Below are 23,842 nucleotides of genomic sequence, written 5' to 3'. Positions count from 1 at the left end.
CTTCTACTCCTCACTCCCTGTTTCTGTTCCAAAGCTTCATTTTCCCTCTGTGTAGCCCCTTGGAATTGACATATCAAAGTATTTACTCAATTTTCAGTTTTGGTTTTGTCCCTATATGGCACCTCTTCTTGTCACTCTTGGCTCCACGAGAGTCATTTTCTCTCTTGCCCTTGAACCCAAGATCCCAGGCTAGGTTCCCACTTGTTTGGGAGAGTGAGAGGTTTGGACACCAATGACTGACCAAAAGCACAGAGGCACACTGGGGAGGCATCAATTGTCCCTGTTTCGCTGGATTGGTAGAGCCCAGTGACCCAGATGTGTCCCCTAAGAGCAACCTCACCTCATTACATAAACTTCCAGTAATCTAAAATAATGGTTTTGTTCCCAGAAGAGGTGTGTGTGTGTGTTTGTGTGTACATGTTTCCAGTCATTTGGGTAAAAATAGGAATGTTACACTTAGATAGTAATAAATGGGAAATAGAGCACTTAACTTCTCACATGGCACAAATGACTGAACAGAAGCCCTGAGTCTTCTTTAGGGAATATAGGTTCAGTGAGAGCTACAGTAATAGTATTTAGTTAATGTCAGCTCAGCATTAAATTTACATTATATTCTTGTGAACAAGCTCCAACATTATCTGTTAAATAACCAAGGCAGTACCTGGGCTGATGTAGACTTTTTGATTTTGCACATGAACTAACACTGCAGCTTGCTGATGAGGGATCACATGAGCTTGAAAATTTGGTGTGCCAAAGGATTCTTTGTATGAATAAAAATTCTGGTCGGTGAAGGGCAGTTTCTCTACTCAAGTGAGAATAATGTTGTGTCCCTTCTAATCAGACACACACAGTGTTTGAAGAATCCAGGAGCTCCATACAAGTGATGTGCAGCCATAGCCTGGGCAGCTCCTCATGCAAGAAATGAATAATCTTTAATAAAGACTCAAACGACCCTGGCTTCTTTCTGTACTATAATCAGTTGCCTTAATGGTGTGCCCTTTAGTCCCTTGCAGGGAAAATACTATAAAGTTATTTTTCTTATGTTGCTTCAAGGAGGGCTGAATTGGTCCAGTCAGTCCTGCTCCCATGTTGTATTTGACTCTGCCATAAAGACCACTGAAATCAGCCTCAGTTTTATTGAAAGGCCAGCATTCCCTTTCTCTTTCAGGGTGATCCATGCCTCCGAGGGGCACTGGACTTGAAACGGCAGGAGTCACCATCTTTATTGTTAGGCTGTGGAATTTGTTTTAAGCACATTCTAAATCCAATCTTATGTTTTTTGCTTTTTTTTTTTTAAGTCTGTGACAAAGGTGACCCAATTGTTCTTCTTTGGTATTGTGAACACAGCTCTTTTTGCTCATATCATAGAGGCATATAACAAAATATGAAGGATAAAATCATGTCTGTGTGTGTAGTAAGGACACATATTTCATGACTAAATTCAATGACATAATCAAAAAAGTGTTGTCCTCTCACAGTCATGAGCTAACAGGCAGAGACCATGTTTCAGGATATTTTTTATAGTGCTGAGATACTGTTCAAAAATAATAGAACTAATGAAAATGTCACATTGACAGAGTAGCCCATATTAAAATTTTACTTCAAGAAGGCATGATTCAGTGAATGTGACATTGACAGCAATGGTGTTAGGGTTTACAGAGTTAGTAAAATGTTCTAAGAAGAATATTATAGAGTTCCCATTGAAGTGTATCATTTTTCATTTTATTTTTTTCTTTCTAGGATTAAGTAAATGTTAGAAATTAAGGAATTTTAGCATACTATCTGCCTAGAAGAGGTATAGGGAGCTTTTTCTATCAGGCTCTAATATAATTTTATAATACAGTGCTTCCAAAGAAATAAGTTAATTTAACAAAATGCATATACCTTAGAGTATTTGAAGAATATGCAGGTAGTAAAATTGCATAATATGGATGCATTTCTCAGTAAATAGATGTGCCATGTTTAAGCAATTTAAAATGTGTAAAAAACTAGAAATGGAGAATAACAGTGGAAAAGAGAACTAGTTACAAACAGAATGGTTGTAGCATCACTGAAGACTTTACTTAGCTCTGTAGATTGGTTGAACAAATCCTCCAGCAAATCTGGAATGAATAGCAACTCTGCTTACTATGACAGGTTTTATTTGTCTTGGGTGCAACCAAGACCACATGCTGTGTTTTGTCATGTTGGAAAAACTGAAGCAGATTTCCTTTGTGAATTTGAAGTTTTTAAAAAAGCCTTAATACTTCAGTCTCAACTCAGCCAGGTAAAAGCAATGTTTTCCTTTTCTTATCAACCAGACGTCAATAAATCTTAAATCCCTTCACCAGAAGCATGTAGCTGCAGTTCACTGCCCTGGTCGTAGTCAGATCACCACCACAGATGGCCTAATCCTCCTCATTTCCAGGGACCTTTAATAAAACTAATTTTTCTTTAATGAAGTTAATTCTTCTGCCTTTAATAAAGCTAATTTTTAATTTTCTTTCTCTTAGAAGGGTGTGTCACCATTAGCATAGAGACTTTCCACATCCCATGATGTATAAGTTTCTACCTAGAGTAAACATGGCTAACAATTCTGTACCTCCTCCCCATTTTTATAGCCTGTGTAGACAAAGCTGTGTTTAGAAGGTATGTCTCTAACTACATTTACCTATTGGAAAATTGTTCATTCTGCTGAATCTATAAAAATATGTATGTACCAGTGATTAACACTTCGTTGAGAGTAGCACAGAATGTTATGAAATTGTTTAGATCTACTTTTTACCTTGGAACAACTGGATAGCAGATCCTTGTAAAATTCTCATCATATTCCTTTTTTATGCATTTATCAGGATCATTTAGTTGGCAGAGAGATCCAAGTAGAAGTGGAAGAGTAAGGGCTGAAGAATAAGGGAATAATCATTGTTTTCATGGATCAGTATCCAGTCTTTTTGTTCTGTGGTCTTTATTCTAGCATGATATGGGTTGGTGGTTTTCTCTAAAGTCGTATCATTCTGTTTGAAATGAGTTTAAGGCTAATCTCACACTGAGGAGCCTTGTCTCTAGTGAAGATTAGCATTTAATTAATATAGTAATGCTCTGTGAAGCAGAGGAGGGCAAGATTTGAGGTGGTGGTGAAGGAGTTAGAACCAGTTGCAGTACCCCAACCCAAAATTTTGTGGGTACCCTGAGGAGCACTGATCTTTAGTTATTATATAGAATAGGCCCAAATAGTGACTGCTGTACATACTGAGTATCTAATCAGGGGTAGAGGTGAGATTAAAGAAGGTGAGAAAAGCTCACTTCAATACTTTTAACATACAAATAAATATTTGAGTGCCTATTATGTGCCAGGTTAATTGTGGGTACTTGGAGATACAGGGTTGAACAAGTACCTGTTCTTATAGAACTTGCATTGTAGTGGAGGGGACATAAATAATTTTTGATAGTAAAGGGCAAAAGAAAACTACAGCAAGATGTGAGGGTGGGGAGTGTTGGGCTGACTAACATTGGTAAGTTAGTCACTAAACCTCCAAGGAGATTACATGAGGCCCAGGCCAAGTGAGGAGAAGCTACTTCAGAGCTTTTCATGCAGAAGTAAAGCAAGTACAAAACGAGGAAGAAATGATATTGGGTATACAAAGAACAGAAAGAGAAACTTTGCAGTTGCAACTTGCCAAGGCAAGGGAGGGGAAAGTGATAGATGAAGTTGCAGAGATACAGTAAAGCAAAGTTTAAAAATGATGATCTCAGGAATTAATTCATCCTAGAAATACTGATAAATGATGAAGCCAATAGTGCACATGTGTTTTTAAAGTGAAATTATAATATTTACAGTTTTCAGGACAAAACTGGAGACTCAGTAGAATAACTAGGATTAAACAGAATGACTGTAGCATCACAGAGGACTTATGTCTTATGTTGAGCAAAGTAGCAGGATGAGGAAGCTTCAAAGCCTAGTGTTTGAGATGCTGCGATCACCAAGCTGTTCTTACTGGAATATGTCCAGTAGAAACACAAGTACATTTGTGTATGAGGTTTCCAAAAGTTATGATGATCTCCTTTTGAAACACTTCTTAAGGAGTTGAGTAGATTTTTTTTTCTGACAAGGTAATTCAGCCTGATTCTCTCCTATAGTTCCTGTAAGTAAGCTTTGTGGTTTTTGTTCTTGTTTTTGTTTTTTTTGAGATGTAGTTTTGCTCTTGTTGCCCAGGTTGGAGTACAGTGGTGCGATCTCGGCTCACTGCAACCTCCACCTCCCAGATTCAAGCAATTCTCCTGCCTCAGCCTCCCGAGTAGCTGGGATTACAGGCTCCTGCCACCATGCCCAGCTAATTTGTATTTTTAGTAGAGACAGGGTTTCTCCATGTTGGTCAAGCTGGTCTCAAACTCCCGACCCCAGGTGATGCCTTGGCCTCCCAAAGTGCTGGGATTACAGGCGTGAGCCACCACGCCTGGCCAGCTTTGTGTTTTCTTATGTCTCACAGTGGAGAAGCATAGGTCTCATAAGGGATAGTCTGAACCTTTACCTGGGGACTTATGCTGCTTAGCTGCTTACCCATTGTTTCTTTTTCTTTTTCTTTTTTTTTTTTTTTGAGATAAGATCTCATGTCCATCCCCCAGACTGGAGTGCAGTGGTGCAATCATGGCTCACTGCAGCCCCAACTTCCCAGGCTCAGGTGATTGTCCAACCTCAGCCTCCTGAGTAGCTGGGACTACAGGTGTACACCACCACACCCAGCTAATTTTTTGTATTTTTAGTAGAGATAGGTTTTGCCATGTTGCCCAGGCTGGTCTTGAACTCCTGGGCTCAAGTCATCTGCCCATTTTGGCCTCCCAAAGTGCCAGGATTACAGGTGTGAGCCATGGCATCTGGCCCTCATTGTTTTCTTTACCATGGCAGTGGCTAGGTATTGTTGAATGCTTGCCAGTATAATAAGCTATCCATGAGAATAAAAGCCATCTCAGGAAACCTCCATATTTTAGGGGATCATCAAGATGCCGGCAAAATCTGCAGATGAAATTTTATATTCAAATTAACAAACCCATGCAGTTTACTTTCAGAAACCAAGTGATTAGGCATACAGCTAATTCATAACAAGGGATTTTTTTCTATTCTAAATTCTGTTTCGTTCGGAATACAATGAATGTTGAGGCATCAGAGAGACTTGCCAAATTTATAGGTCTTTCCAACACTCCTGGACTTGAAGAAACAATTCTGAAGCCCGCAAATTCCATCATAAGCTTGGAAATTACTGTCCATATTGTAAGGAACAAAGTCTAGGGCACATAAGTTTACTGCTTTATTTTTCTTTTGGCAGAATTAAGATGCTCTGGTTTCAAGGAAATAGCATGCAACTTGCCAGATCCTCCTTTGGACTCTTCTTGAGAAATTGCTCTGCCTCTAAGACAACTCTGCCTGTGTTGACCTTATTCACAAAGGTACAAAGTGAAAAAGTAAAATTGTTGGGTGAAGAAAGTTGTACATTTAAGAAAAAGGGACAAAGTTGAAAGGAAAGGCAATGGAATAAGCTTTCTTCAGACCTGCTCTTCAATTTTTCTATCAGCACAACAGCAGCAACTCAGTTTTCTACCCAGATACCTTATTATCTCCCAATTAGCAAAGAGTAAATTGATGTATTTAATGGTCATCTGGCCCCTACATTGAAAAAAATGAAGTATAGGTTATAATATGGTGTTTAAAAATGTATCATTTAGAAATACAATCAATTATTTTTATTTGTGGTAATTATGTTCTATAAAGTCACCTTGAACGCTGAATTAATGAATATTGCTCCTAGGGGAAATACACAGTTAGGTTCCTATGAGTCTCTGGTCATAATATTTTCATCAGCCTACCAAATACAGAACCTTATTTTATGTGTGATTCTATTTAAAGATACTTTATTTTTACATTTGCACCATGGAATACTATGCAGCCATAAAATAGATGAAATAATGTCTTTGCAGCAACATGGATGCAGTTAGAGGCCATTATCCTGAGCAAATTAACACAGGAACAGAAAATCAAATACTGCATGTTCTCACTTATAAGTGGGAGCTAAACATTGAGTACACATGCACACAAAGAGGGGAATGATAGACACCAGGGCCTAATTGAGGGTGGAGGGTGAGAATCGAAAAACTACCTATCAGGTGTATGCTTACTACCTGGGTGATGAAATCATTTGTACACCAAACCCCAGTGGCATGCAATTTACCCATGTGACAAAGCTGCACATGTACCCCCGAACCTAAAATAAAAGTTGAAAAAAAAATTTTTTTAATAAAGATACCTTATTTAGTATATATTGTTGATTCATTAACACTAAACTCACAGCCAATAGCACTTGTGTATAACTCATGCCTAAATGAAGCTTATCGAACACATGTATTTTCTCCATAAGGCACATCACAGTCTTCTTGTGCTTAGGAACACTAGCCAGCACTTCAGCACTGTGTCTGGGGGCTTATTTAAACAGTGAAATCACCAATAAAAAGCACAAAAATGCAAAAATCCTGGCACTATGCACACCATGAAAAGGACACTAGCTTACATTTACAGTATGAGAGCTAAAACAAGAAGGCAGAGCATCACCTTGTTTGACCTCAGCTTAGAATGAATGCTTTGGGTAACTGAAATCTCTCACCAGTCTATGCATGTGCATGTCTGTGAATACCTGCAAAAGCGCTTCAAGTATTGACTTGGGGGTTGCAAGGAAGTTTTAGCAATTAGGCAAATTCATAAATATGGAATCCATAAATAATGAGGACTGATTATAGTTGTTTTCTTATCCCTAACACTAGTTTTAAGCCATAAAGCTAGTTTTAAAATATTTAACAGCTTTATCTCCCTGAAATTATAATACAGACATTACTGATTTCTTTTTTTGCTAATTAACATCACTTTGTGTGATTTAACAAAAAAGAAATAAAGTGCAGGTTAATAGAAGTAACTTTGGTGAATAATACTGCAATTCAAACAAAAAAGATCTCTTTTCAATAGGTTTTTGAGATTTCAGGCATTTTAGCAATTTGGATATATATGACAGTTATTTAATAACAAAGTTTAATGAGTTTTAAAAATGAATTTATTGATGAAAATATTTAATCTAAACTACTTTTTATATCTGTAAGTATATATTGCACTGTTGGAAATTATGGAACCAAAAATATTTCATCATCTGAGAGTCTATGATGGGAAACCCATGTGCAAACCACAGAAGTTAAATAATCCCTTAAGGCTGGTGTTGCTCACTCAGCCTAACAGTTCTGCACTGTTCTTCGGTTTGGGCAGCAGTTTATATAGCCAGAAACATTTGTTAAAAACAAAACGAAAAAACCACACCAATTTTCCATTCAGCTTAATATTTATACTTAATGCTTATTCTGTACCATTAGGCACACAAGAAGATGGTACTCCCACCTTTGGCAGCTTATAATCCAGTGAAGTAAATGCTTAAAAGTACAGTATCAGATTGCTATCAGTTATGAAAAATAGAAAGTACTTCCCAGAGTGAGTTAAACAAAAAGATTTTGGAGTTGCTCTGGTTTCAGGAACAGCTTGATTTAGGAACTAAACATGTTAACAATCTCTTCAGCTTTGCATCCTCAGGGTTAAATCCCCCTCTAGTTCTTCTCATGTGATATGGTTTGGCTCTGTGTCCCCACCCAAATCTCATCTTATAGCTCCCATAATTCCCACATGTTGTGGGAGACACCTGGTGGGAGATGATTGAATTATGGGGGTGAGTCTTTCCTGTGCTGTTCTTGTGATAGTGAATGGGTCTCACAAGATCTGATGGTTTTGAAAACAGGAGTTTCTCAGCACAAGGTCTCTCTTTGCCTGCTGCCATCCATGTAAGATGTGACTTGCTCCTCCTTGCCTTCCGCCATCATTATGAGGCCTCCCCAGCCATGTGGAACTGTAAGTCCAATAAACCTCTTTCTTTCATAAATTGCCCAGTCTTGGGTATATATTTATCAGCAGCATGAAAACGGACTAATTCATCATGGATGACTGCAGCCATCCCAAGCCTCAGATCTCACATCTCAGTCATCTACAGAAACTCCAGCAAAAGCCTTATAGCTACCCACTGGCTCTGATTGGCCCATTCTTGAGGGATAGGATGCACTGATTGCCTGAGCCTAAGTCAGGTTTCTCACCTTTGTTTTTCTGGGATGGAGTCAGCCACATGCTGAGAGTAGTTCCTGTGAAGCAATATTATAACACGCTTGCTACAAGAAAGGGAAGTGGGTGGTGGACAGCCAACCCAACAAATGCCCACTATGGTTAGGGACAGAGTAAATAACAAGTGCCATGGAAAATCCTAGAGAAGGATATTTGAATGGTCCATTCCACTGGTATCTTTTTTTGGTTCTTTATTGTTTTAAAATTTGATGAGCCTTTCCTCATAAAAATATATACACATATTTTCAGGTATAATTTGCATAGACTTCTGTGGACCCCAGGTCTAAAAAACAAAACAAAACAGAAAACCCAATCTAGATTCTTCTAAAGTTCTTAATATAAAAGCAAAATTTTAGCACAATTGGTACTTCTGTAATTTAGCATGCTCTTGGTTTTTTTTGCTTTTAAGATCCTGTGTTGAGTTTTTGAAACTTTCTCTGAAAATTTTAGGATGTTTATCTTAAAACATTACAAACTATCCATAATCTATGTATTGCTAATGCTAATAATAACATGATAAGCCAATTCTCTGTTCTAGGAAATTAGGGCCAGAAAGACCCTTTAATGGTGTGATTCTTATTTCAAAACAAGCTGTGAGTTAAGCTGGAGGAAAGCCCTCTCTTTTACATAATAGCTTATCTCTTCCTGTCATGTTAAAAAGAAGGTTTTATATAAGCATAAGTAATTTGGGGTCTGTTTTGAGCTCATCCAAGAGAACCTATAGCAGGTCCCTGTTCAGTCAGACCTTTAAAATCTGCCGATGTAGCCTTGTAATATAGTTTGAAGTCAGGTAGTGTGATGTCTCCAGCTTTGTTCTTTTTGCTTAGGATTGTCTTGGCAATGCGGGCTCTTTTTTGGTTCCATATGAACTTTAACGTAGTTTTTTCCAATTCTGTGAAGAAAGTCATTGGTAGCTTGATGGGGATGGCACTGAATCTATAAATTACCTTGGGCAGTATGGCCATTTTCATGATATTGATTCTTCTTCCAAGCCTACAGTAACCAAAACAGCATGGTACTGGTACCAAAACAGAGATATAGACAAATGGAACAGAACAGAGCCCTCAGAAATAATACTACACATCTACAACCATCTGATCTTTGACAAACCTGACAAAAACAAGCAATGGGGAAAGGATTTCCTATTTAATAAATGGTGCTGGGAAAACTGGCTAGCCATATGTAGAAAGCTGAAACTGGATCCCTTCCTTACACCTTATACAAAAATTAATTCAAGATGGATTAAAGACTTAAATGTTAGACTTAAAACCATAAAAACCCTAGAAGAAAACCTAAGCAATACCATTCAGGACATAGGCATGGGCAAGGACTTCATGACTAAAACACCAAAAGCAATGGCAACAAAAGCCAAAATAGGCTAACTGGATCTAATTAAACTAAAGAGCTTCTGCACAGCAAAAGAAACTACCATCAGAGTGAACAGACAACCTACTGAATTGGAGAAAATTTTTGCAATCTACCCAGCTGACAAAGGGCTAATATCCAGAATCTACAAAGAACTTAAACAAATTTACAAGAAAAAATCAAACAATCCCATCAAAAAGTGGGCAAAGGATATGGACAGACACTTTTCAAAAGAAGACATTTATGCAGCCAACAGACACATGAAAAAATGCTCATCATCACTGGCCATCAGAGAAATGCAAATCAAAACCACAATGAGATACCATCTCACACCAGTTAGAATGGCGATCATTAAAAAGGCAGGAAACAACAGGTGCTGGAGAGGATGTGGAGAAACAGGAACGCTTTTATGCTGTTGGTGGGACTGCAAACTAGTTCAACCATTGTGGAAAACAGTGTGGCGATTCCTCAAGGATCTAGAACTAGAAATACCATTTGACCCAGTGATCCTATTACTGTGTATATATAAAAATATATACACATATTTTCAGGTATAATTTGCATAGACTTCTGTGGACCCCAGGTCTAAAAAACAAAACAAAAAACCCAATCTAGATTCTTCTAAAATTCTTAATATAAAAGCAAAATTTTAGCACATTTGGTACTTCTGTAATTTAGCATGTTCTTGGGTTTTTTTGCTTTTAAGATCCTGTGTTGACTTTTTGAAACCTTCTCTGAAAATTTTAGGATGATTATCTTAAAACATTACAAACTACCCATAATCTATGTATTGCTAATGCTAATAATAACATGATAAGCCAATTATAAATCAAAGGATTATAAATCATGCTACTCTAAAGACACATGCACAGGTATGTTTATTGCGACACTGTTCACAATAGCAAAGACTTGGAACCAACCCCAATGTCCATCAGTGATAGACTGGATTAAGAAAATATGGCACATATACACCATGGAATACTATGCAGCCATAAAAAAGGATGAGTTCATGTCCTTTGTAGGTACATGGATGAAGCTGGAAACCATCATTTGGAGCAAACTGTCGCATGGACAGAAAACCAAACACAGCGTGTTCTCACTCATAGGTGGGAATTGAACAATGAGAACACTTGGACACAGGGTGTGGAACATCACACACCGGGGCCTGTCGTGGGGTGCGGGGAGCAGGGAGGGATAGCATTAGGAGAAATACCTAATGTAAATGACTAGTTGATGGGTGCAGCAAACCAACATGGCACATGTATACATGTGTAACAAAACGGCACGTTGTGCACATGTACCCTAGAACTTAAAGTATAATAAAAAGGTATAATATATATAACATATATAATAAAAGTATAATAACAAAATATAGGAGAAAGTGGGAAAAAAATAAAATAAAATAAATAAAATCTGCCGACGATCCATAGTATTCTCAACAGACTTCTCTGCTAGATGGTTTATGAGTGCAAACAATGGACACTAAAAGTTGTTTGCTCTTCAGGTGGAGAATTTGTCCAGGAAACCTATTGTTGACACTTGTAATGAGAAAACAGGCGGTGCAATAATCATCTGAAGTGAATAGAGATTTGTTTTACTTTTTAAAGATGAGGCAATTACTATCTGACTCCATCCTAATGGGTTTCTTCCTGTGGACTGATTAGGAAAAACAGGCTGGCAAGGCTCAGTGCTTTTCAGTCAGAGCAGACTTTAAGCCATCCTCGTGGTGTCAGCCAGGCCAACTGTATGAGGCCACAAGGGTGCACCTGACCTAGGAAGGACAAAGCCCTTAGATCAGTGAAAAAGAGAAACATCTATATGTATGTATTATATATACACATAGATAGATGGCTTGATTTATGGAGAAAAATCAGAACAAAACAACCAAAAAAATGCACAGAGCCTATGAAATATTAGTTATTTATAAGATTCTATGGTAGTGTTTTACTTTGGAAAAGCAGTGTAACTAACATGGTAGAAAACTATTCTTTAAAATAAGTATAATCTGCCTCTTATGGGTTTTTTGTTTTGTTTTGTTTTTGTAAGGGCAAATGCCATTCTTTGGGTTTAATCGCTTGGGTTTTTTTTCTTCCTGTAGGACCCATGCCCCCTTTGTGATGAAGCCAAGGAAGTACTCAAGCCTTATGAAAACAGGGTAATATAATACAGTGTGGCTTTTATGTATATGGATTGCATATTAGATGTGGTATAAAGTATCTGCCTGGATCCTTCCTTTAGGAAAAGAGATTAAATGATTTTTCTTTTAAATTTTCTTTCTGTTCTTCAGAGAGAGAGTTTAGTGCTTATTACCATAAAACTCATTACACCTAAGTGTTTTCCTCTGAGCAGTACTGGTTTTCTTACTCTGGCTCTTACTGAGTCAAAGTTAACTAGCAGGTGCAGCATTCATGTTTTCTTTAAACTTTTGCCCCATTCCTTTTATCTTGTTTTGCAGTTTGCACTGATGTGTTTTCACGTAACACACCATCACACCTTTCCAGTTCCTGTAACCAAAACATTTCTGTCCTGATTCTCAGTCAGCTTCCCAACTGGGACATGTTTTATTTCATTGGAACTGAGTACTGTCCTGATGCTGAATGTAACAGGGGTAACAGAAAAGCAGCAAGATCAGGAAGTAGAGAATATAATGAAACCAGTCAAGTTTTGGAAATCAGGGACATTAGATCACTGTGGACCTAAAACAAACAAACAACTATAAGGAAAATGGCATTAGAAATGGTCTGGGGATCAGTTTATCACTGCAGTTGTTACATCACCCCATGGTCTAAAATACAGAGCTTTAGTCTGTCTCTGTTTCAGTTCATTTTACAGGAGGTGAACATCACACTTCCAGAAAACTCTGTCTGGTATGAAAGGTATAAATTTGATATTCCTGTCTTTCACTTGAATGGCCAGTTTCTGATGATGCATCGAGTAAACACCTCAAAACTTGAAAAACAGCTCCTGAAACTTGAGCAGCAAAGTACTGGAGGCTGACTGATGCCCTCATGATTTTCCACCCTCTCTTCCCATAAAGCATCTTCCTAAGGAAATGACCATGGCCTGATACTCATTTTGTCACTTGTACAGAGCCCTAAGGATGTTCTGAATTCAGTGGTGCCAAATAAATGTTGACATTCCCCTTTTGGTTGATGGAAGTATCAGTGTGGGAACTGTTTGCTTAATGGCATTTTATAAAATAAGAAGAGCATATTAGCAGGGAGGGAGATGATGGAGGGAGGGAGAAGTCCATTTGTCTTATTTATCCTTTTTGTATTAATAGAGAAGCACTTCACAGTCACTGGGCAATGCCATTTATAGGAAGAAGGTTCTGCATTCCTGCTGCTGCCCCGGAGGGCTTAACTTTTTAATGAAAGAATAAATGCTCTTCCACTCAGTAGATAAAGTGAAATGTGAATTGTTAATAACTGTGCACGGTCAATAAAGCGATGTTTTAAGGAATACATCTGCATGAAGCCTATTCAGTGGGATTTAATAATACCTGTTTAAAATTAGAGTTCATTTTTGTTGAGTAGAAGAGAATTATTATCCTAGCCAAAGAGGCATCATTTGAGAAAAACAAAAGAAAAACTTAAACTCCTTAAATGTATATAAAAATCTCAACATTCTCTACACAGTCATTGAATTCATTTGTAGTATTTGAGGACTGCCTTTCATAGTTATTCAGTTACCATCAATTGAGTTAATTCAACTTATTTTAAGACAGTAGGTTTTTTTAAGTCAAATTTTAATATCTTGGAAAAAGTCACTCCTAAATATGTCATCTAAAGATAAAATACTCTTTGCCATTCTATGTAAAGTGTTAGAAATGTATTTGCGTACCCTTATTTATATTTAGTCAGATTAAGCCAGTGTAGAAATGGATTCACTTGAAAACAAAACTGTCTTTCCTCTTAAAATCTTACCACTGCAATTCCATGTATAATGAAATTATTTTTTAAACTATTTGAATGAATTTGGATATTGTGAGTCACTAGATTTTAATTTGATCAGGATGATTCAGTCTTAGTGTAGAATATTAGAGCTAGCTGACCTTAGACATTGTCTAGTCCCACTCCCATTTTATATATGAGGAGAAATCTGAAATTCAGAGAATATCAGGGACGTAACCCAAGGTCACACAGCCAGTCAGTTGGCAGGCCAGGTCTTGCCCCACAGCCCCAGATTTCCAGTACTCTCTGGACTCATTGCAGGGGGCTCCTGTTATCTCACATACAGCATCCCCAACCATTTTGGATCCAACACAAATCTGGAATCAACTTAAAAAGCCTTTTAAGCTGAGTACAGTGGTACATGCCTATAGTCCCAGCTACTTGAGAGGCTGAGGCAGAAGAGCCCAGAAGTTTGAGTCCAGCCTGAGCAACATAGTGAGACTGTGTCTCTTAAAAAAAAAAAATAAAAGAGAAAAGAACAAAATCTTAGCAATTGAATAGCAGTGTTTATCATTTACAAATTTCTGGAACATTTATTTGACATAAATATTGAGCCCTGGGGTGGGCAGAATTCTAGGATAACCCCAGTGATCCCCACTCTTGGATAATTCCCTGTCCCTTTGAGTGTGGGTGGAAATATCACTGCTGTGATTATGTTACATTATATGGCAAAAGGGAAATTATCCTGGCTGGGCCTGACGTAACTGGGTGAGCCCTTTAAAAGCAGAGAATTCTCTCTGGTTAGTTATAAAGAGGAAAGTAGAGAGATGTGCTCTAGCAAGCCTGGAAGAAAGCAAGCATCATGTGAATTGCCTAGTGGAACCACATGGCAAGAAACTGGGTAGCCTCTGGGAACTGAGTAATTCTCGGCCAAAAACTAGCAGGAAGATAGGGACATCAGTCCTATAGCTTCAAGGAAATGAATTCTGCCAATAATCAGTAAGCTTAGAAGAGGATCCCCAACGACAGATGAGAACTGCAGCCTTGACCAACATCTTGATTTCAGCTCAGTGAGACTCTAATCCAAGAATCCAGCCACACCAAGCATAGACTTCTGGTTTACAGAAACTGAAAGACAATAAATATGTCTTGTTTTAAACTGCTAAATGTATGATAATTTGTTACATAGCAGTAGAGAATGAATACAAGTCCTTACAGCATTGAAGCACCGTAGTAGGTGATGGGAGTACAGAAATGAATAAATCATAGTCCTTGTCTTTGAGATACTCACTATCTATTAAGGAGCAAGGAGAGACAAGTGAATAAAGCACAGCATAGTGCAATGAGGGCTGGAACTGACACATGTCAAATGGTACCAGGTGGGAAAAGTAGCAGGAATGATTCACAGAAAATTAGACTTAAGCTAGGTCTTGATGGCTGAATAGAAGCAATGGATGGGGATTGGGAGTAAGGAGGGTATTCTACAAGGGAACAGTATATGTAAAATATGAGGGTGTGGAAGGACACAGCATATTCAGGAAATGCTAGGTGGCTTTGTGTGGCTGGAGTAAAGGGGAGGAGAGTGAAGGAGATGAGACTGGCAAGGTAGATTGGGATCCATATTGTGAAGGCCTTAGCTAATGTGCTTTTGGCCCAGCATCAGTAGCCTCCCATGCTTCCTGCCTTTATCCATAGTCAGTCCTTCTGACTCCTGACTACTCAGGGGTGTCTGGCCTCCCTACCCCAGCCTGTTGCAGTCCTTCTTCCTGTCCTTAAGCATGCTGAGCTCAACAGTCCCTTCTAGTAGTCCTGTAGGACAATCCCACTCTCAATACAACCAGGGATGCCACAGACAAAGTCCTCCACTTGTGTGTCTGGGTGTCCTGTGTTCATTCCTGCCTTCTCCAGGCAGGGTGAGAATTGTGTAGCCCCTAGGACCCAGGTTGCTGATTCTTCTCCTAGACCACCAGTTGGAAAGGTTCCAAGAGTTTCTTTCAGTGTCTGCTCAACTAAGATGGAGAAAATCCATTGGTTCCCTTCAAAAAGCATGGCTGGCCAGAAAGCCTAGAGACGTTTGTTCTCTTGGAGCACTTCTTACCTGAGTATAACCATGTGGTTATAGTGTGCAGGAAGTGCAGAGACTAAAGGTGAAACAGTATTTCAGCAACAAATTTCTGACACTAGAATTTCAAACAAGAATCCCATGATATAGGATGCTCAAACTAAAGTACTGGCTAAGGCACTAAGAAACAATAGATGCTACATTTCAAGGAAATACTAGATCATGTGGAGGATTATTATAGACCTGGGAGAGAGGATCTTTGGAGGAGTTTTTTAAAAATAAGATGTCCTCTCACTAATTTTCTACCAAAGTAGAAAGGTTGGGAGTCACTTCATATCAAGAGGGAGGGGCATAAGTTGGACTCACTGGAAAGCGAATGTATGTCCTTGGGTAAGAAGAACATAGCGGTCTAACTCTCCTGGGAAATCAGGCAAGAGATAGTTTAGCAAGCAGATTTGGCTGTACAGTGAAGGCAGCTGATGCTGTTTCTCTGAGTTTGTCCCAGGGAAGTAAAGTAAGTTTGTGTGTGTGTGTGTGTGTGTGTGTGTGTGTGTGTGTGTGTGTGTCCTCATGGACCAAATATGAACCAAATGTGAGAGGGGACTGGTATGAGGGCACCTTCGTTGCAGGCAGGCCTCAGAAGGGGATACCCAGAGGGAAACACTGGGTTCCGAGGGGCTGAGGGGTCTGCTCGAATGGAGAGCCCATTTGCCCAAATCAGGGAACTGCAGGCAAGACATCGCCAGTAATTGGTACAGTCTCCCAATAACCTGCACAGCCTGTACCAAGTGTGGTCTGCTTTAACTGTTTATTGGGTCCAGAAAGTAGGCCAGTATACAACTCCACCACTGAAATAAGAACATTCTCACCCCTCTCCACTTTTTCTTTCTCCCATAGCAACCCTACAAGGATCAGAAGCTGCCAGGAACAAGGAGAAGACGCTCCCCTTCCTCACCTTCCCACCCCCACATGGCTTCTCAGTCGGGGAAAAGATACAACTTAACTTTAAACCAAGTCTTAAGTTTTGATTATGACATGGGATTAGATGCACCAAAAACAATTTCAAGTGACTGTGGGGCATTCTATTGCCTGAGAATGTTCAAGAGTCCTGATATGACCTGTTGTTTTTATCCTAAACAGTGAAAAATTCATCCACCAAATATATAGGAATAGAGGGAGACAGAAAGATGCTTTCTGAAGGTATCCCATATTTAGAGTATTGGTTACATATACCTAATGTTGGTTTTAACCTATAGCTCTTCAATAAACTTACTCATCAATTCTTATTTCAGAGAGGAATATGGTCATGTGACTAGGAATCCTGCAGATCTTCAGCAAACCCATGGGTCCCAACAGCTGGCAAAATGAAAGGTAGATACCTACAAACATGGCATCTAAAAGGTGGTTTGATTATCCCACTGTCAAGTATCAGTGTTATGTCACCTATTACTGTGATTTTCATGTGATGTTTGTAGCAGCAATTACTTTTCCTTTCTGAAATTATGTTTGCAAAGATCAATTTGTTTTTATATAAAGATTAACTTTGATATAAGAAGCTCATCATTCACCTCCAAAGGAAAAGGTGATACAAGCTTCCTTTTTTTCCCCCTTCAAGCTAATGCCTTATGAAGGAGTGGAATAGTTTGGGACTTCATATTGCTGCTCTAGAATAGTGCCTCTTTCTTCCACATGTCTCTTCATAACATTATGAGCTTACTGGAACACATAGCTCTTTGGCCAGTTTATTGCACGAAACAAGGGTATACTCAGACTGGGGTTTTTTAAATAATGCAGCAATCTCATGGACATCTGACAGTAGGAATCACAATACAGCCAGGCTTCAGAAGTACAATTAAAGAACCACCCAAAACTGAAACATCACCCTTCTCACAGTGCCTTGGCTTATTTTCTTCCTTGTTCTCTCCTGGCTCACAGCTCCCCTGCTTACACACACTATCTGCTTCCTCATAGCTGCAGCCTGCTTATGCCCATCATTACTGCTAACCTTTCTGTTCAGCAATACAGCACCCTGAGCCTCTCAGGCTTCTCTATTCTGAAATCCTAAAAGGAATTTTACTCAGCTTATATTTTACAACCAGGCACCCATGACCTAAGTTGGCTGACCAAATCTATAGAAGGAGCCACCTTTAGGACAGAAGCCTATCCCTGGGCCAACTGGCTATGGAAGCGGTATGCAAATCACAGTCACTGCCCACTGGCAGAGGCCAGAAGCAGGACAGGCAATGACCAGCAACTCTGGCACGCCTCCAAAAAGCTTAAGAATGTGACATTCTACCATACTCAAGAGAAGTCAGGAGGGACACATTGGTAAGTTCACTTATATCCTACTCCATAGGAGTAATAAGGACATGAACCAAAGCAATGGGAGTCAGACAGAAAGAGATATCAGGAGATATTTAGGAGTGAGGTTGACAAAACTTCATGACTGACTGGATGGGTCGGTAGTGATGTGGAGAGGGGAGTAGAGAGAAAGCATGGATTCTGGGATAACTCCCAGTTTTCTTGCTTACACTACTGGGTGAATTCTGATACTTTTTATTCCCTGAGGCAGAGAATGTAAGAGGAAGGAAAAGTTAGTTTTGGGCTGTGCTTGGTGGATGGGAAAGGTAAGACATGGTGAATTCTCCATGCTTGTGGGATATCAAGGTAAAGATAAAAGTTAGAAGTGCAAAACAAAGGTCTGGGGTTAAGGTATACATTTGAGAGCCCACTGAGTATGGTTGGAAATGTGGCCACCTGGCATATAAGGAGAAAAGCAAGCTATTCCCAAACCATGGAGAATACTAATCTTGACCCATGAGAATAGAGGAAGTTGCTAGTGAAGGAAAATGAGAGAGTGGTGGTGGAACTAGGAATGGGAGAAGCTCATCCAATTTACATTACGTGATGCCTTTTGTGATTTGATAGTGGCAGGTATTATTCCAAGCACTGGGGATAAAACAACAAACAAGATAGCCAGGATTCCTACTCTCAGAGTCTTGCATTTTAAGGGAGAGACAGACAATAAAGATATCGTATCAGAGGAAAATAATCATGAAAGTCAGGGAGGAGCTTTTCCCAGAGTAACTGACAGTATCAAATAGCAAGAGAGTTAGGATGAGGACTGAACAGAAGACATCAGATTTGAAAATTAGAAAATCAGTGCTGCTATAGGAAGAATAGTCCCCAAAGATACCCAGGTCCTAATTCCTGGAACCTGTCACTTATATGCATAAAGGACTTTGCAGATTTAAGTTAAGGATCTTGAGATGGGAAAATTATATTGCATTATCTAAGCAGGTCCTAATGTAATCACAGGTGTCTCTATAAGAGGGAGTCAGAAGGAGATTTGACTAGGGTAAAGAGAGTAGGAAATTCGACAATGGAAGCAAAAGGTTGGAGTGATACAAGAAAGCAGCCATGAGCCAAGGAATGTGAATGGCCTCCAGAAGCTAAGAAAAGAAAAAGAAAACAGATTATCCCCTATAGCCTCCCGAAGGAGCAAGCCCTGCTGACACGTTTACTTTAGTTCTGTGAAACTGATTTCTGACTTCTGGCCTATAGAACTATGAGAGAATAAATTTGTGTTGTTTTAAGCCAAGTTTGTGATAATTTGGTACAGCAGCAATAGAAAATGAATACAAATGTTTCCTTGACCTTATTGAGAACAACTTTTGTGGAGAGGGAAGAGGTAAACTAAAAGAAAATTGTGGTGGGATGATAACTGAAAGATACAGAAAAGACAGCAAAGTATCCATTTTTTAGGAAGTTTTTATATATCTCATTTGACCCACTAAGAAACGACATCCAGAAAGGAGCTAAAGACCAGAGGTAATTGATTAGCTCAGCACCCAAAAATGGCAGGCAGTGTTGGGGCAGTACTAGAATGAGGTAGCCGGCCGGGCACGGTGGCTCATGCCTGTAATGCCAGCTCTCAGGGAGGCAAGAGGTGGGAGTATAGCTTGAGCCCAGGAGTTCGAGACCTGCCTGGGCAATATAGCAAGACCCCGTTCTCCAGAAAAAGGAAAAAAAAAAAAAAAAAAGCATAGAATGAGGTAGCCATAACATTCTACCTGGCTTTTGGCTGAATTGTGGGGAGGAGAGTTCAGAGGCCTCAAAAGTGACCCTGACACTGGAGAGTAAACCATAGTAACCCATTATAGTCCACAGATATGCGCACCAGACCCATGACTCTTGTTCACCATAGAGACAGGATACTTTGATGCTGTGACCCAAAATCCTGCACCTGGAACAGATTTGGTACCTCTCTATTGACACAGAAATTCATGTTGAGCATGGAGACATAATCAAGAGAGAATGGCCTCATTCGATCGGTCTTCAGCTTAGGCACTGACATTTTGCATTTTACCTCCTCTCTCAGGTTCAAAGATGACTACCAAAGCTAAACCTCTGAATTCTAAAGTCTACAAGGACATAAAGCTTCAGGGAAAGGGGAAATATTAATATTAATATTAATGTCATACAAAAGAGGAGAAGCAGCACATAGGAGTGCCAGCTAATAGACTAGTAGTAATAAGAAGAATCCAACCATAGGCCTATATTGAGAGTCATGGGCATCCCTTCTTTATGCTGAAATGGTATATTTGAACGGAATTCCTGATGGAAAACTTTCTATCCTTAGAAATACTGTAGGCCAAATATTAATTGGAACTTTTGTTAATGATTTGAGAACACCAAAAAGTTTAGATGATACAAGTTAAAGGCAAATTGAGCCCATGGCCTCATTGTGCTACTTAGAATACCCTGTGACCCAGCTCTCCTCAGAAACCCTGATGGCTTTGTTGCAGCATTGCATTGCACAGAAGACCTCAGTGGTGGTCCTGAGTCCTCACAACAAGGTCAACCCGTGGCCTGGCCACTAAGGCAACAGAGAGGGAAATAAATTTTAGAAAACGCTTCCCTTAAAAATGAGTTAAAATGTACATTTGCATCATGAGACTAGGTTAACTGTCACCTGAGAAAGTCCTATATTCAGAAAGACTTAATCCTGGACCAGGTAAATGAGGCATTTGCTGTATGTTCTTTGTTATGAATTTAATGCTACAAAGAGAAAATGGGCATTGATGCATAATCTGGGTAAAAAAGAGATGTCAGAAGTTGGGAAAGAACTGCCAGAAGAGCTATGTTTTAGGATTTCACTCCACCTTACCCTGTGTTTTCTTGTAAAGATATTCTCAAAATTAGGCCAATTTCACTCTTTTAAGGTCAGAGGAGATTAAGATATTTAGAAATCAGATTGTGGGATTGATTCCCATTGTGATTGCTGACTTTTAGTATCAGCCTTTTGTTCTGCATGGATTCTCTCATCTTGCAAACTAGCAAGACTCCTGAATTTGGCAATGATCCTGCTCTGTGAAGCATTCTCAAGTTAGGGTTCTTATCAATGTCAGATTTCACTAAGCCAGTAATAAAGGAAAGGTTGAGAGAGCAAAGGATGTCACTGAGTTGACACCTAACAGCACAAAACAACTTGTCAGCTGGCAGGACAAGCCAGCATGTTCAGGGTGGTCACAGCCTTTGAGTTGGAAAGATAGTCTTTTAAACATTCTTACCTCACCAAATAACTTTAATAGATAAAATTTAGTTACTCCCTCCCACTTTTGTTCTATTCATTTAAAGCAGTGTTTTTTAAAAATTTATGTATATGTGACTACATGAAAAATACATTACTGTGTTTCTTGATGTTTTATGACCTGTACACAAAGTGAGACCAGCAGATGCCTTCAAGAGAAATAAAGGACACTGCTGTCATTCTAACTAAATTGTCCAGAGGAGGAAAGAAGAGTACAAAAATGATTATGAATACTTAAGAAGAGGCATGACTTTGTCATTGGTGTGGAGCCTATAATTATGTGCAATTCCCTACTTAAGACTTTTTAGTTATGCTGAACATTGAAAAAAAACTAAACAGCGGAGAGGAGAAAAGAAAAGGGGAAATTTAAACATTTAATGGAACACATTCATTAAATGGAGACATCGCTTCACCATAAGGGGGCAGTTAAGGGTTTGGTAGTCCTACTCACTTGCTATTGTCAAATCATTTGTTTTATCATGGATTTGAGATCCTTATAAGTCTTCATTATTATTTTGAATTCAAGAATGATTCCTTCTGCTCACAAAACATGATCACTTTTCATTGATTTTTTTTTTTAATATTCTGACTGGTTTTGCATATCTGGAAAAGATAAATCTTCAAAATTTGGAAATAAATATTTTTCCTCCCTGCCAAATCCATAATATGATCCCTTTCTGTCACTGACAGCACCATCAGATAAGTGGACGTGCCTTGCTTGGTTAGAAGGATGCTGCGATTTTCAGCAGGAACAAGAATGTAGTTACAGACCCAGCCTAAGACATGTTTAGGGCACGTTGTTACAGATTCTTTTTGGTTCTGTTCTAGAGATATCTTCTTAAGTCCCAATTTGACATTAGAAATTCTCATTCAGGGCCAACGTCCCCAGCAAACCAGGTATCCCACAGGCAGGATTCACCTTCAGGACTTGGGAGGAGGCCCTCAAGACGTGGGCTGCAGCAGGAGACACAAAGACAAGAGACTAAAAAAATACAGGGGCTTGGCCTCTTCAGATTCTTGGGATCTTCCTCTCCTCCTCAAACTGGAGCCTGAGTTTACCCCAGAACTGATGCTGAGAACAAATTGGGGAGGGAGAGGCAAATCTGAAGATGTGCAAACCACAAAAAACTGGAGGCATGAGAAACTGAAATCTAGGATTCTGTAATAGCACCAATATTTGTTGTTGTTCCCTTCCATCATTTATAAGTAAAATGTGAAATAAGACAAAGGGAATCAGTTACTCTACCTAAAGCTGTATTTTCTAGTTTTCCCCAGCTTTTATTTTTAAAAATACATATTTTATTTTATTTTATTCTGTCAGCAATCCCGTGATATAAATAGGGCAGGTATTACTATCCTTATTTTTGAGATGAGAACAGTGAGTCCCAGAAAGAGGAAATGACTTTATAAGGTTATGCAGTGAGTCAGACAGCCCAAGGAATAATAAATACCCAGTTCTGCTCTTATTTAATCCAGAACATTTCCCTTCCTGGCTTTAAGCATCCCTTTCCTCCTTCTCCCTTTGGTGGTTCTCTTTTGAACATGATCTCTCACCAACTGTGGATGAGTCCATGTTCAGAGTTGCAGAGAACTGTTGTTTATAGATCCCCCAAGGGGCTATTTTCGTTGCTTACCTGCGAAGCCCCTGTGATGGAAGTCCCTTAGAGGCAGTTGCTGGGATTCTTCTCACCTGAGACTGCTGTAATTAGCTCTGCTAACAACTGTGATCTGCGATTGAACATTGTTCACTGACAGGCACAGATAAGAGCTGCATCTCAGTGAGTGGTGTTCTAAATGGTGTTCTCCACTTGATAAACTCCTGTAAGGCACTTGTCAGGGTCACTGTTCTCAAACTCAGCTAGCAGCAGGCAGTTTCACCGTAACACCTTCCAAAACACACAAAAGAGGTTTTAACAGATCCCCAGGGAGTGCACCGCCATGCACTGGGAGAGACTTTATATTTTGACCTTGCCCAGGATTTGCCTGCCCCTCCTTCTAATGGAAAACATAGGTGTGGCCTTGCATGAGAAAAGGCAGTCTTTGTCTTCCTGATCCTTGAGACGCCAAGGTTTCAGATCTCCCCATAAGAACACTTGTAAGTGAAAGTATAATGGGTGATACGTTCAGACGATGCTTTTCAAAGCCTACACTCTTAATAGAAGCAAAACAAAATACTGCTTATGAACACCTGCTGGTGAGGACCCAGCCAAGAGGCAGTGTGGGCGTTGGATGGGAGGTGTTGCCCTGGCAGTAAATCCAAGTTGCTCACACCAAAGGAAGTGTTTCTAGGGAAGCTATCTGAGCAAGAGGTAAATACTTAGTCATTCGGAATAGTCCATAAATGACGACTGCTTCATCTTCAACAAGGGGAGGTCTGATTGGAAAGTGCTCACAGAATGATTGGATTGCATTTCTGTCTTCAATCCACCTTTGATTCACAATATACATTCCTTTGTTAAAAAATTGAAGAATGTCTGTAATCAAACCCTTGTTAACAGATGTAAAGAGCTACAATTTGCTTGCTGGACATTATTTCAACAAAAGTTTTTTCATTCAAAATAATTTGTCAAAAAAGGACCCATGCCCTTACGTGGTTTCAGATAGTGTGCTGTCCAATTTGTATGCTTTTCCACCTACTCCCCCAGGGCCATCAGGGGGTACGTGAGTTTAATGATTCTACTTCTTAACCATTTCTTAAATCTGCCTCCTTGGTCGGGCGCAGTGGCTCACACCTGTAATCCTAACACTTTGGGAGGCGG

The 23,842-nt window shown here is 39.3% G+C and overlaps 1 protein-coding gene across 12 annotated transcripts in view, besides 1 other annotated feature; it reads left to right on the top strand.

The window, feature by feature from the left end:
* The window catches only part of C5orf63 (chromosome 5 open reading frame 63), a 30,941-nt gene extending 9,200 nt beyond the window's left edge, over positions 1–21,741 (top strand). For 2 of the 12 annotated variants that reach the window (NR_170930.1, XR_007058601.1), the window contains exons 3-6: positions 5,301–5,421; positions 11,634–11,690; positions 16,388–16,690; positions 16,783–21,741. Coding sequence is in view for 4 of the 12 variants with exons in the window: in NM_001164479.2 (NP_001157951.1) it covers positions 5,308–5,421; positions 11,634–11,690; positions 16,388–16,633 (417 nt within the window). In the remaining 8 variants the exon portion in view is untranslated. Of the gene's footprint in view, positions 1–5,300; positions 5,422–7,796; positions 7,907–11,633; positions 11,691–12,355 lie in introns of all 12 variants that reach the window. The other 10 variants (NR_170934.1, XR_007058603.1, XR_007058602.1 and 7 more) reach the window with 10 other exon arrangements.
* Positions 22,679–23,522: an enhancer, noted in NCBI's record as "OCT4-NANOG-H3K27ac hESC enhancer chr5:126376473-126377316 (GRCh37/hg19 assembly coordinates)". NCBI's record gives its function as "activates a minimal SCP1, AML or CMV promoter by ChIP-STARR-seq in naive H9 embryonic stem cells {active_cell/tissue: H9 hESC(naive)}" and the evidence as "EXISTENCE:reporter gene assay evidence [ECO:0000049][PMID:30033119]".

The sequence above is a fragment of the Homo sapiens genome, chromosome 5, assembly GCF_000001405.40.
Source record: "Homo sapiens chromosome 5, GRCh38.p14 Primary Assembly".
NCBI classification, from domain to species: Eukaryota; Metazoa; Chordata; class Mammalia; order Primates; family Hominidae; genus Homo; species Homo sapiens.
This window is presented reverse-complemented; position numbering and strand designations above follow the sequence as displayed.